At 45.4% G+C, this 13,421-nt stretch overlaps 1 protein-coding gene across 6 annotated transcripts in view, besides 4 other annotated features; it reads left to right on the forward strand.

Annotated features, from left to right (window-relative positions):
• Positions 6,691-6,920: a silencer, noted in NCBI's record as "silent region_8709". NCBI's record gives its function as "represses an Ori minimal core promoter by ATAC-STARR-seq in GM12878 lymphoblastoid cells {active_cell/tissue: GM12878}" and the evidence as "EXISTENCE:reporter gene assay evidence [ECO:0000049][PMID:35858748]".
• Positions 6,951-7,090: an enhancer, noted in NCBI's record as "active region_12388". NCBI's record gives its function as "activates an Ori minimal core promoter by ATAC-STARR-seq in GM12878 lymphoblastoid cells {active_cell/tissue: GM12878}" and the evidence as "EXISTENCE:reporter gene assay evidence [ECO:0000049][PMID:35858748]".
• Positions 6,984-13,421, forward strand: part of LUC7L3 (LUC7 like 3 pre-mRNA splicing factor) — a 36,617-nt gene continuing 30,179 nt past the window's right edge. For all 6 annotated transcript variants that reach the window (NM_016424.5, NM_001330330.2, XM_005257452.2 and 3 more), the window contains exon 1: positions 6,984-7,212. In NM_016424.5, coding sequence (NP_057508.2) covers positions 7,114-7,212 — 99 coding nt within the window. In that variant the 5' untranslated portion in view covers positions 6,984-7,113. The remainder of the gene's footprint in view (positions 7,213-13,421) is intronic.
• Positions 7,261-7,320: a silencer, noted in NCBI's record as "silent region_8710". NCBI's record gives its function as "represses an Ori minimal core promoter by ATAC-STARR-seq in GM12878 lymphoblastoid cells {active_cell/tissue: GM12878}" and the evidence as "EXISTENCE:reporter gene assay evidence [ECO:0000049][PMID:35858748]".
• Positions 12,317-12,816: an enhancer, noted in NCBI's record as "H3K4me1 hESC enhancer chr17:48802297-48802796 (GRCh37/hg19 assembly coordinates)". NCBI's record gives its function as "activates a minimal SCP1, AML or CMV promoter by ChIP-STARR-seq in primed H9 embryonic stem cells {active_cell/tissue: H9 hESC(primed)}" and the evidence as "EXISTENCE:reporter gene assay evidence [ECO:0000049][PMID:30033119]".

Below are 13,421 nucleotides of genomic sequence, written 5' to 3' on the forward strand. Positions count from 1 at the left end.
CTGGGTAATTTATAAAGTAAAGAGGTTTAATTGGCTCACAGTTCCACATGGCTGGGGAGGCCTCAGGAAACTTACAATTATGGGAAGGCGAAGCAAGCGCCTCCTTCACAGGGTGGCAGGAGAGAGAGCGAGAGAGCGAAGGGGAAGAGCCACACTTTTAAACCATCAGATGTCCTGAGAACTCACTCCCTATCACGAGAACAGCATGGGGGAACCGCCGCCATTATCCAATCACCTCCCACCAGCTTCCTCCCTGGACACATAGGGATTACAATTTTAGATGAGATTTGGGTGGAGACACAGAGCCAAACTATCCATAGGCTAGGTGCATTAAATGCATTTTCAACCTAATGGACGTATTGGGATCTAACCCCTTTGTAAGTTGAGGAGCATCTGTAGTCAACATTTTAATGACGGACAGAAGAGAAGAAATTCTCAAATGAGAGCAGAGGAGCAGCTATTAATAGACTAGCAGGAGGAAAAGCAAAGGAGTGGGAGGGTTTGGAGACAAGGGAGTGATCCACAGGGTCAAATGCTGCAGAAAGGGCAAGAAAGAAAGGGCTGAAACACATGAAATGGGTTTAACCATCACAAGCTTGCTGGTGCCATTGAAGAGGAAAGGTGCAGTGAGGTGGTACAGGTAGCCACCAGACTTTCTTAGTCCATTTGGGATGCTATAACAAAATACCACAACCTGGGTGGCTTATAAGCAACTGAAATTTTTTTCTCACAATTCTGGAAGCTGAAATTCCAAGATCATGGTACCAGCATGGTCAGGTTCTGTCGAGGGCCCTCTTCTGGGTTGCAGACTGCCAGCTTCTCATTTTTTCCTCACATGGCATGGCAGAAGGGGCAAAGGAGCTCTCTCGGGCCTCATTTATGAATGGCACTAATACCATTCCTGAGGTCTCTGCCTTCATGACCTAATCACACCTGAAAGGTCCTGCCTTTTTTTTTTTTTTTTTTTTTTGAGACAGGGTCTTGTTCTGTCACCCAGGCTGGCACCTGACCTAAAAAACAAACAAAAACAAACAAACAACAACAACAACAACAAAAAACCTTTCATTCTAAGGGAAGAAATTGCTATTTGCAATATCGTGTGACAAACCCAAAAATATGCAAGGATGCTTCAGGTAAAATGATGGCACAAAGAAGGTGATCAGTGTGTAGCAGGTGGAGGGCCAGGGTCCAGGGTGGCGTTGTGGAGCTGCTGAAACTGGGGCTGTAAGCTGAAAGATGAGTAGGGGCTCGTATCTGTAACCCCGGCTGCTCAGGAGGCTGAGGCAGGAGTGAGACCGTCTCTGAAAAAAGGATGAGTAGGTGTTGCTTGCTGCTGGAGTGGAAGAGCTTTCCATGCCTGGAGCAACGTAGATGGTGAAATGCAGGAATCAAGGGTCTTCCAAGTACTGGAAGCAGTAGCAGATGAAGTTGGAGAAGGGGGTCAGAGCACAGACCACCTTGTGGTGTTTGAACCTTAGAGTGGAGATGATGGGGAGCCATCGCCTCTAAGGTTGGAGGCGTTTTGTTTGTTGGTTTGTTTGTTTGTTTTTTGAGACCCAGGCTGGAATGCATGGTGCCATCTTGGCTCACTGCAGCCTCTGCCTCCTGGGCCTCCAGCAATCCTCCCACCTCAGCCTCCTGAGTAGCTGGGAATAGAGGCGCGTGCCACCATGCCCAGCTACTTTTTGTATTTGCAGTAGAGACAGGGTTTCGCCACATCACCAAGGCTGGTCTCAAGCTCTGGAGCTCAAGCAATCTACCAGCCTCGACCTCCCAAAGTGCTGAGGTGTGAGCCACTGCACCTGGCCAGTTGGAGCCTTTCGAGCAGGGATGAGACACATCTAGATTTACATTTAGAAAGGTGACTGATGGCTGGGCGTGGTGGCTCATGGCTGTAATACCTGCACTTTGGGAGGCTGAGGCGGGCGGATTGCCTGAGCTCAGGAGTTTGAGACCAGCCTGGGCAACATGGTGAAACCCTGTCTCCACTAAAGTACAAAAAAAAAAAAAACAAAAAAAACAGCTGGGCATGGCGGCGTGCATCTGTAGTCCCAGCTACTCAGGAGGCTGAGGCAGGACAATTGTTTGAACCTGGAAGGTAGAGGTTACAGTGAGCCGAGATCGTGCCACTGCACTCCAGCCTATGCAACAGAGTGAGACTCCGTCTCAAAAAAAAAGAAAGGTGACTGAGGCAGCAAGATAGATGGAGGATGGGGTCAAGGGGCCCGCACTGGAGGCTGGGAGGCTGGGAAGCAGTGAGAAGACCTGTAGTAACTGCAGCTTCCTTTCTATATTAGCTTGCTAGGGCTATCATAACAAAAATACCACAGACTAGATGCTTAAACAAATGAGATTTTTATTTTCTGGAGGCTATGAGTTTACGATCTGGGTGTTGGCAGGTTTGGTTTCTCTGGAGGCCTCTGTCTTTGGCTTGTAAATGGCCACCTTCTTACCATGTCCTCACGTGGCTTTTTCTCTGTGCAAGTGCATCCTTGGTGCCTCTTTGTGTATCCAAATTTCCTCGTATAAGGACGCCAGTATGATAGGATTATGGCCCAACCTAACAGCATTGTTTTAACTTCATCATCATCTTCAAATGCACGATCTCCCAATACAGTCACATTCTGTGGTTCCAGGAATTAGGCCTCAACATATGAGTTTGGAGGTGACAGGAACACAGTTCAGCCCATAACATTTTCTTCTTTTTTGAGATGGAGTCTCACTCTGTCACCCAGGACGGAGTGCAATGGCATGGTCTTAGCTCACTGCACTCTCTGCCTCCTGGGTTCAAGCAATTCTCCTGCCTCAGCCTCCCAAGTAGCTGGGAGAACAGGCACCTGCCACCACACCCGGCTAATTTTTTGTATTTTTAGTAGAGATGGGTTTCACTATGTTGGCCAGGCTGGTCTTGAACTCCTGATCCACCTGCCTTGGCCTCCCAAAGTGGTGGGATTACAGGCATGAGCCACTGTGCCCGAAGCCCGTAACATTTTCTATTAGTAACAGGTATGGAATGGGGTCTGGACACCACTAGCCGATAAGATTAAGTCATTTCCCATTCCATCATTGGGAAATAGCCAACTCCTGTAATCCATCAAAATTATCTGTAAAATGGGCTTTGTGACCTGTTAAGAAAGACTACTTTTACCTCTGGATCCCAAGACATAGCAGAGAATCTGATACAGATCACACTGGGGCTCACTGCATTAATGAAGGATGAATGAAGCAATTCATTATCTGTAGTGGTAATGCACACTGAACTGTGGCTTGTCCTCAGACTTTAGAAAAAAGAGAGTTGTAGAGTAAGACTTGCCTGGTGTATGACAGGGCCAGGCGCTCTCACCTCTGTGATTCAAAGGCATTTAATACTTTCTTTTTGAGACAGGGTGTCACTCCATTGCCCAGGCTGGAGTGCAGTGGTGCAACCATGTCTCACTGCAGCCTCGACTTCCTGGGCTCAAGTGATCCTCTTACCTCAGCCTCGTGAGTAGCTGGGACTACAGGGATGTACCACCACATCCAGCTAATTTTTTGTATTTTTTGCAGAGGCAGGATTTTGCTATGTTGCCCAGCTGGTCTCAAACTCCTGGGCTCAAGCAATCCGCCTGCCTCGGCCTCCCAAAGAGCTGGGATTACAGGTGTGAGCCACCATGGCTGGGCCAAGTATTTTCATTTCAAGACCAAATTGTAGTTGTGACATATTTGTCTCCCATAGGTCAGGAGCTCCTGGAGAACCAGGTTTTATACGTCTGTCTTTGTATTCCCAGCCAGTAACCCAGGTCCTGGCAAAGAGCACATGCACCATTATAGTTTGTGGAATGAATGAGATAATTAGATTAAGAACCTGTGATGGGCAGGAACTGTAATTTTGCAATCTGGTTGTGTGTTTGCGGTTCATGATGTGTGCAGTCCTGTTTGTTTGTGGTTCAGTTTTTTTTTTTTTAGACGGAGTCTCAGTCTGTCATCCAGGCTGGAGTACAGTGGTGCAATCTCGACGCACTGCAAGCTCCGCCTCCCGGGTTCATGCCATTCTCCTGCCTCAGCTTCTGGAGTAGCTGGAACTACAGGCGCCCGCCACCATGCCCGGCTAATTTTTTGTATTTTTAGTAGAGACGGGGTTTCACCGTGTTAGCCAGGATGGTCTTGATCTCCTGACCTCATGATCTGTCTGCCTCGGCCTCCCAAAGTGCTGGGATTGCAGGTGTGAGCCACTGTGGCCGGCCTTTTTTTTTTTGGTGGTAGTAACAGTGGAGAGCCCTCAATAAATGCTTCATTGGGAAAACTGTAACCAACAGCTGAGAACTGCCTCATCTCACTGCTAAATCTGTAAATTGATTTTCTTCTTTCTTGTTTCAGTGGAGAAGATCCTTTCTCCTATCAAAGGCCAGAGGTTTCAAATATGCCCTGGAGCCTAACCCATTACTTTTTTTTTTTTTTTAAGACACAGTCTCACTCACTCTGTTGCCCAGGCTGGAGTGCAGTGGCGCGACCTTGGCTCACTACAGCCTAAGTCTCTTGACAGTCCACTGTTTAAAGCGATGCTCCTGCCTCAGCTTCCCGAGTAGCTGAGATCACAGGCGCCACCACCACGCCTGGCTATCCTTTGTGTTTTTAGTAGAGACAGGGTTTCCCCATGTTGGCCAGGCTGGTCTCGAACCCATGACCTCAAATGACCCACCTCTGCCTCCCAAAGTGCTAGGATTCCAGGCGTGAGTCACCACGCCAGGACCCAACCCGTTACCTTTTTAAGATTTTAAGTCATTAACTATCCCCTTCTTTTATTTTCCACCTCTCTACTGGAATATCCCCAACATTAAACATTCTCTCATTTCCTACGTTTGGGGTTTTTTTTTTTTTGGTCTTTTCTTTTTTTTTCCTTTTTGTGGAGAATGGCGTCTTGTTATGTTGCCCAGGCAGGTCTTAAACTCCTGGCCTCAAGCTATCTCCCTGCCTCTGCCTCCCTAAAGTAGTGGGATTATGGCGTGAGCCACCATGTCTAGCCTCTAATTTCCTATCTTCAAAAAGGCTCCAGCCCCACTTGGTGGCTCACGCCTGTAATCCCAGCACTTTGGGAACTTTGGGAGGTCGAGGCAGGTGGATCACCTGAGGTCAGGAGTTTGAGATCAGCCTGGCCAACATGGCGAAACTCCGTCTCTACTAAAAGTACAAAAATTAGCTGGGCGTGGTGGCGGGTGCTTGTAATCCCAGCTACTCAGGAGGCTGCGGCAGGATAAACTTGAACCCGGGAGGCAGAGGTTGCAGTGAGCCAAGATGGTACCACTGCACTCCAGCCTGAGCGATAGCTCAAAAAAAAAAAAAAAAAAAAAAAAAGGCTTCATGTCCCATACCTCCTTTGAGTTCTCACCCTATTTTGCTGCTTTCCTTCTTAAAAAGAGGTGTCCACGACCGGGCGCGGTGGTTCACGCCTGTAATCCCAACACTTTGGGAGGCTGAGGTGGGTGGATTATTTGAGCTCAGGAGTTCAAGACCAGCCTGGGCAACTTGGCGAAACCCCGTCTCTACCAAAAATACAAAAACTTAGCCGGGCGTGGTGGCATGCGCCTGTAGTCCCAGCTACTGGGGAGGTTGAGGCGAGGGGGTCGCCTGAGCCCGGGAGGTTGAAGCTGCAGTGAGCTGAGATCGTGCCATTGCACTCCAGCCTGGGTGACAGGGCCAGACCCAGTCCCCCCAAAAATAAAAGTGTTGGGCTTGTTATCAATGTGTAGTGCCTTACATTGTATAAACTCATTTAATCTTCACAATAGCATCGTGGCTGGGGGCCGGGGGAGGACTATTGTAAACCCCATTTTACAGAAAAGGAAACAAAGGCACAGAGCGGCAGAGCTGGGATTACGAACCCAGGCAATCTGGCTTTAGAGACCATACCCTTAACTGTGCTAAAGCATTATCCCAACATACGTTGATATATTTGTGACTTTATTTCTTCAGCGATTATCTCCCCTCGCCAATGCACAGGTCTGCGGGAGCATGGACTGTCTGAAAGGTTCTGAGTTTAGCTTTAAGCACAGTGCCTGGCACATACCATTTGTTGAATAAATGGATCTACCTATCTATATATATGTGTGTGTGTGTGTGTGTATGTGTGTGTGTGTGTGTGTGTGTATATATATATATATATATATATATATTTTTTTTTTTTTTTTTTTTTTTTTTGAGATGGAGTTTTGCTCTTGTTGTCCAGACTGGAGTGCAATGGCGCGATCTCGGCTCACCGCGACCTCCGCCTCCCGGGTTCAAGCGATTCTCCAGCCTCAGCCCCCTGAGTAGTTGGGATTACAGGCATGCGCCACCACGCCAACCTAATTTTGTATTTTTAGTGGAGACGGGGTTTCTCCATGTTGGTCAGGCTGATCTCGAACTCCCGACCTCAGGTGATCCGCCCGCTTCGGCCTCCCAAAGTGCTGTGATTACAGGCGTGAGCCACCTCACCTGGCCTACTGGATCAATATCTTTTTAAAAAATTCCACACTGGGAGACATTTGGTGTAGGACTGAATCCCCGTATTTTAGAAGCCGCCTTGTCTCTTCTTGCCTCGATTTCCCATCCTGTTAATCAGGAGACTCAGGGCGGGAGGACAAAGCCAGGTGCAAGAGGCGTGAGCACAGCGACTAGGAAAATGGAGTCGGAAGCCGTAATCTTCAGTTTCCTCCGCTGCATGAGGCACCATGTGCACCACGTGGACTAAAGGAGACACTTTCTCCATTTTGAAGCGGTGTCCAGGCTTCAAGACCTAGGCTCCAATTTCTCACCGTGAAGAAGCTCGGGAAAACCGGGCGCTTGGGGAGGCGCGCGGGCAGAGGCTACCCGTCCCCGCGGCCTCTAGACAGGGGCGGAGTCCCTACCCGGCCTCCGCGGGCCCCGCCCCCGGACGGCGGAAGCCGAGCTCGCCCTCTCCGCCCGGGCCTGGGCGTGTCCCACGGGCGCACGGCATGCTGGGAAGGCGTCCGCGCGGCGGCCATTTTGTCTTGTCGGCTCCTGTGTGTAGGAGGGATTTCGGCCTGAGAGCGGGCCGAGGAGATTGGCGACGGTGTCGCCCGTGTTTTCGTTGGCGGGTGCCTGGGCTGGTGGGAACAGCCGCCCGAAGGAAGCACCATGATTTCGGCCGCGCAGTTGTTGGATGAGTTAATGGGCCGGGACCGAAACCTAGCCCCGGACGAGAAGCGCAGCAACGTGCGGTGGGACCACGAGAGCGTAAGTCCCGCGGGCCTTGGCCTGAGCCCGGGCTCCGTGGGGGAGGGGAGCGGGCGCGGGCTGTGGCCCTCCTGGCCGCGGCGCGATGTGGCCAGGGCCGCACCCGGGGTCGAGCGTCTGACCCGGTGCCCATGGAGCCAGGAGGGAGGATGCTGTCCGGACCCGGGGATGGGGGTGATTTGGTTTTGTTGTTCTAGTATCAAGGGGGTCCGGGAGAGCCCTTGGCATAATTGAAAAGCACCTTGATGAGGCGGGGAAACGCGGGAAAGAAGGATAGCAGCGTCTTATTAAATCTAGCGGCTCCGAGGTTTCACCTCATTATGAAATAGGGAGAAGGGCACATTTTTCTATAGTTTGGGTTGAACGTCGTATTTAGACTAAAATTTCTGACCAGGATTCATGGTAAAAATCGTGGCGGTATTTTATTTAAGTAATTACAGCATGACGCTTATACGGGGAAATAGAAATGTAAAAGAAGTCGTTTACTTGTTAGGGTTTACCGTGATGATTTACAAGTATTGTTCGTTAACAGTATTCTAAGAAGTCCCTTATAGAGGCAGCTGTCAAGGTTTTTTCTTCCACATAAAACTCATTTGATGCTCTTAGCCCGGGGAGTAAAGGTAAATATTATAACCCCAGTTTCACTGGTGAGACTTAAAAAGGCTCACCCAAAGTCTTGGCAACTGAGGAAACTAATCTTTGTAGTTCTGTTAGCTTTCCACAATCCTATGAAACTGGTTCTCTGCACCTACTGTAGCATTTCAAGTGTTTTGATCTAGTTTTGAACATGCAGTGTAATGTTTACTTTAGGTCTTATCTGGAGAATAGATACAGAATTTAATTTTACTTTGAGGTTATAATCTAACATGCTAATTTTAAAACAATTGCTAATCAAAATAGGAAGGAATAGTTCAGGTAATGCATGCTTCTTTAGAAAACTGTTTTCTTACTCTTTTTAAACGTAGGCTTTGGTTAAGGTAAAATTTCTTTTTTGCAGTGTAGGAAAGCAAGTTGGTGCTAGATGACTCCTTTTAGGACTTTAAGAAAGAGTAAGTTTGGCTCAAGTTGTGTTGGGGTGCTAACTGATTCCAAAGTAGTATGAAACATTCTTAGAGTAGAATTTATTGTTTTTAAGAGGTGGGTTTTTTGTTTTTAACATTTAGGCTCCCCATCCCCCCGACCATTTGTCACAATAGGAGACTAAGGAACTGCTTACCTTGACCATCTTTCTTTTGTAGGCATCTTTGTTATAGCGAAGTAACTTTTTTTTTTTTTAACTACCTGACTCTGTAACCTTTCAGTCTAAACTTTGCAAATGTGTTAGGAATAACGCTCAAAATCCTAAGTAAGGTAAAAAACCAAAACATTATGGCGATTTGGCTTATGTTCAATAGGTTATTTGTATATTTTGAATTCAAGAGAAAAATGCTTTCCATTGCACTCCTTATCAGTTGGAACAGCCTTGTATCTCTGCACCCTTGACTTTGAACACGTTTTAGAGAAACTGTTTTCTTTCCCGGGGTAATTTGTTGCCACATTGCATTGTATGTGATGGGTTTATGACTCTTCAATGATGAGGCCCTCAGAATAGCAATTTAGGTTTTATGTCATCTCAGCCGTAATCTGCTTTGCTTTCAGTTTTAGTACTTTTCACTAATTTTAACTTTCAGTGTTTATTACTAAAGTATTTAATGCCTTAATGACAGATTGCACTTCACTCTAGATTGAAGGATTTCAAGTCAGTTACTGGCATTTCAGATTGATATCTGCAGGGAAAATGTTGGTAGTGTTGAGCAAAAACAAAGCACATGGTCTCATCTAAATAGGTGGAATTATTGTATAATGAAGCTGGGGAAGCTGTTGATATCGTTTCCGGGTCATCTGCATATTCTTGTACTGTTGGCTGTTAGTGCTAAACCTGCAGGGATGGGCAAACCCATTATATGCTGAAAAGGAGTCACCTTTTCTATAGCCTAATATTTTAACATATTTTTGCATTCCTGTTCTATCTGGAAATTTTTCTTGGCCATACTTGCATTAAATGGAAGAAGCCATTTCAGCTGGATGGGGCCCTTGTTTTTTTTTTTGGAATAGAGATAAATACCAAAATAAGGAAAGGAAGCAACCATTAATTAAAAGACAGTTGCCGTGGCATCTGTAAGTATTTAACAGTCAAAATGCTAACTTTACCTAGTATTAAAGGTAGTCCCTAGATAGCTGTATTTGACCTGTGGAATTTGTTTTAAATGCATATTTCTGTACTTCAACCCCTTCAACTCCCCTTCCCAGAGAGTCAGATTCTGTCTGTCTTGGGGAAGGGTCCCAGTATCTGCATTTTTTATGGCTCCTCTTATGCATTCTTTTTTTTTTTTTTTTTTTTTTTTGAGACGGCGTCTTGCTCTGTCTCCCAGGCTGGAGTGCAATGGCGTGATTTTGGCTCATTGCACCCTCCGCCTCCCGGGTTCAAGCGATTCTCCTGCTTCAGCCTCCCCAGTAGCTGGAACTACAGGCGCCCTCCACCACGCCCAGCTAATTTTTATATTTTTAATAGAGATGGGGTTTCACCATGTTGGCCAGGATGGTCTCGATCTATTGACCTCGTGATCTGCCCGCCTCGGCCTCCCAAAGTGCTGGGATTACAGGCGCGAGCCACCGCGCCCGGCCGGCTCCTCTTATGCATTCTAAAGTTTGTGACCTACTGTTTCCTGACCCATCCTGATTAGTCCTGGGCTTTTAATTGTGCATATCTGCACAATTAAATCTTAATTGGTATTAATTTGGTAGTAGATTCTAATACTGTACTTTTTTCTCCTTTTCATGATGGGTAATAAGTGAGCAAGCAGCACTTGCGAAGCGCAGTTTCAAGTGAAGGATGCATCTGTGATGCAAAATCATCGACCATTTATTTGTAATGGTGTGTATGTAACCTTCACCAAGGTATTTTACTGGGGCTAGTGCTTTTACAGGCATTTCCAACTTTGTAGATTGCTACCTCTGGATCTGAGAAACTGCAGCTAAAGTGAAGTCGGCTTTAATACTGTTTCATGGATTCATTGGTACACCCTCCCACCGTGTTTATTTGTATTTTGCAATTGTTTGAGATTATTGTTTTGGTTTTTTGCACTAAGCAATTGCTTGGTTAATCCTAAACAACCACAGTGATGAGGAAAGCATGTGATTGTAACTAACTGCCTAGGGTGAGTACCTTTCAGTGAGGGTTTGATTTCAGTGTTAGCCAGAGAAGGCACTAGTAGCCATATTATTAGAAGATTGTAGTAAATTGTAAAGTCTGATCGGGAGTTTTGTTATTTTTTATGTAGCAAGACAGAAATTTTGTAGTTCAAATTGAGGTTTTTATATTCTAGATCTCAACCTGAAAATGAAATTACTTAATCATTAACACTGATTCTAATATCTGAAATGAGTTTTCTTCCATTTATCAAACTCAAGCCTACCCTTCCTTCCATGAAGGTTTAACATGAAGGTTTAATAATTTATGAAGGAAATTGAACTATGTTCTTTTCTAAAATCTTTGGAATGTTAGCAGATACTGTCATTGACACTGAAAAGTTGTTTAGAAAAGGAAAAATAGCTAAAGCTTCTGTCCACATTTTTTACTTGTATACTTTTTCTTTTTGCTTTAAAAATGTTCAGAATTTGGGAGCAAAAATTGAAAGCAAAAAACTAGTAATTATAATGCATGATGGCATCTATTAATATGTATTTTACTAGTTTTCATTCAGAGTCACCAAAATGTTCATAGTAACTTACTATGTTACTATGGAGTAAGATAGAAAAGCATTTTCTACCCTGCTCCCTGCCCCCCCCCCTTTTTTTTTTTGAGACAGAGTCTAGCTCTGTCACCCAGGCTGGAGTGTAGTGGCATGATCTTGGCTCACTGCAACCTCCACCTCCTGGCCTCAGCGTCCCGAGTAATTGGGATTGCAGGTGTGGGCCACCACGCCCGGCTAATTTTTGTATTTTTAGTCGACAGGGTTTTGCCATATTGGCCAGGCTGGTCTTGAACTCCTGACCTCAAGTGATCGGTCCGCCTCAGTCTCCCAAAGTGCTGAGGTTACAGGCGTGAGCCACTGCGCCCGGCTGGCATTTCCTACCTTACTCCATAGTAAAATAGTAAGTGTTGGCTTCTCAGAATTGCCAGCAGTCCATGTGTTATATGTGTATGTAATTGCTATTTGCTTTTCTTCCCAAAACATACAGAATTAGAGTGAATAGTATAATAAATTGAACTCCCCATGTACCCATGCCCAATTTAGCAATATTAGCACATAGTCAATATTATTTCCTCTGTATCCCTTCCATTATTTTGAAGCAATTCTGTTATTGTCAACCTTAAAGCGGTCATTGTATATCTGTAAAATACAAGGACTTTAAAAAAAAAACATAGCCGACCGGGCATGGTGGGTCACCTGTAATCTCAACATTGGGAGGCCAAGGCAGGCAGATCACTTGAGGCCAGGAGTTCGAGACCAGCCTGGCCAACATGGTGAAACCCTGTCTCTAATAAAAAATAAAAAAATTAGCTGGGCGTAGTGGTGCATTCCTGTAATCCCAGCTACTCTGGAGGTTGAGGCAGGAGGATCCTTTCAACCCAGGAGGCAGAGGTTGCAGTGAGCCGAGATGGTGCCACCACAGTCCAGCCTGGGCAACAGAGTGACACTCTGTCTCAAAAAAAAAATAGAATAAAATAACCACAATACCATAATCACTGAAAATTATAGTAAGGTATTTCGTAAATCTTTGGTTGCTTTAGGAAAATTGTGTGTGTGTGTGTGTGTGTGTGTGTGTGTGTGTCATTATATATGTTATTAGCCTTGATTTCCTCACAAAAGGAGAAGGTAGCTTAAGTTTGTAAATTTGACTTTTTTGCTAATACAGTTCTTCGTTTTATGAAATATTTTCTCTTTTTTTTTTTTTTTTTACCCCCGAGATGGAGTCTTGCTCTGTTGCCCAGGTTGGAGTGCAGTGGTGTGATCTCAGCTCACTGCAACCTCCACCTCCCGGGTTCAAGCGATTCTCCTGCCTCAGCCTCCAGAGTAGGTGGAATTACAGGTGCATGCCACCATGCCTGACTAATTTTTGTGTTGTTGTAGAGATGGGGTTTCACCATGTTTGCCGGGCTGGTCTTGAACTTTTGACAACAAGTGATCCTCCCTCGGCCTCCCAAAGTGCTGGGATTACAGGGGTGAGCCACCATGCCCAGCCTTTCTCTTCATTTCTTATAGTAAGTTAGGAAAATTGTTGTATTCATTTATCCAACAAAAATGTATTGCTCGGCTGGGAGCGGTGGCTCACGCCTGTAATCCTAGCACTTTGCGAGGCTGAGGCGGGTGGATCACCTGAGCTCAGGAGTTTGAGACCAGCCTGGCCAACATGGCGAAACCCTGTCTCTACTAAAAATACAAAAATTAGCCAGGTGTGGTGGCGCACGCCTGTAATCCCAGCTACTCGGGAGGCTGAGGAAGGAGAATCGCTTGAACCCGGGAGGTGGAGGTTGCAGTGAGCCGAGATCACGCCACTGCATTCCAGCCTGCGTGACAGGAGCAAGACTCCATTTCAAAAAAAAAATTAAAAGTATTGCTCTTAGGTAGATAACAGCAGGATAGTACAGATACAGCACTTGGTCCTAAAGAGCCATCATGTATTGGTGACAGTAAATGCACTTTTTTTTTCCAATGGGGATTATTCCAATTGAATGTAAACGCATTTCCATAACAGAATATGATAAATCCTACCATTGGGAAAAGTAAAATTGACCCTTGAACAACACGGGTTTGAGTTGAGTGTGTCCATTTATACGTGGAGTTTTTTCAATAAATATATTGGAACATTTTTTGGAGATTTGCAACAATTTGAAAAAACTTGAAGACGAATCACATAGCTTAGAAATATTTTTAAAATTTAAGAAAAGATAAGTACATCACAAATACATAAAATAGATGTATATACTAGTTTATCATTTTCCTACCACAAAATACATACGAATCATAAAAAGTTAAACTTTATAAAAACTTATGCACACAGTACATGGTGCCACTAGCAGTCCAGAGAAAGTAAAGCTTGAGTAATAACTGCATAAAATTAACTATAGTACATACTGTAATACTGTAATAATTTTGTAGCCACCTGTTGCTATTACAGTGAGCTCAAGTGTTGCCAGGCTCCACTTAAAATGCCCTATGACCTGT

This window comes from Homo sapiens, chromosome 17 (assembly GCF_000001405.40).
Source record: "Homo sapiens chromosome 17, GRCh38.p14 Primary Assembly".
NCBI classification, from domain to species: domain Eukaryota; kingdom Metazoa; phylum Chordata; class Mammalia; order Primates; family Hominidae; genus Homo; species Homo sapiens.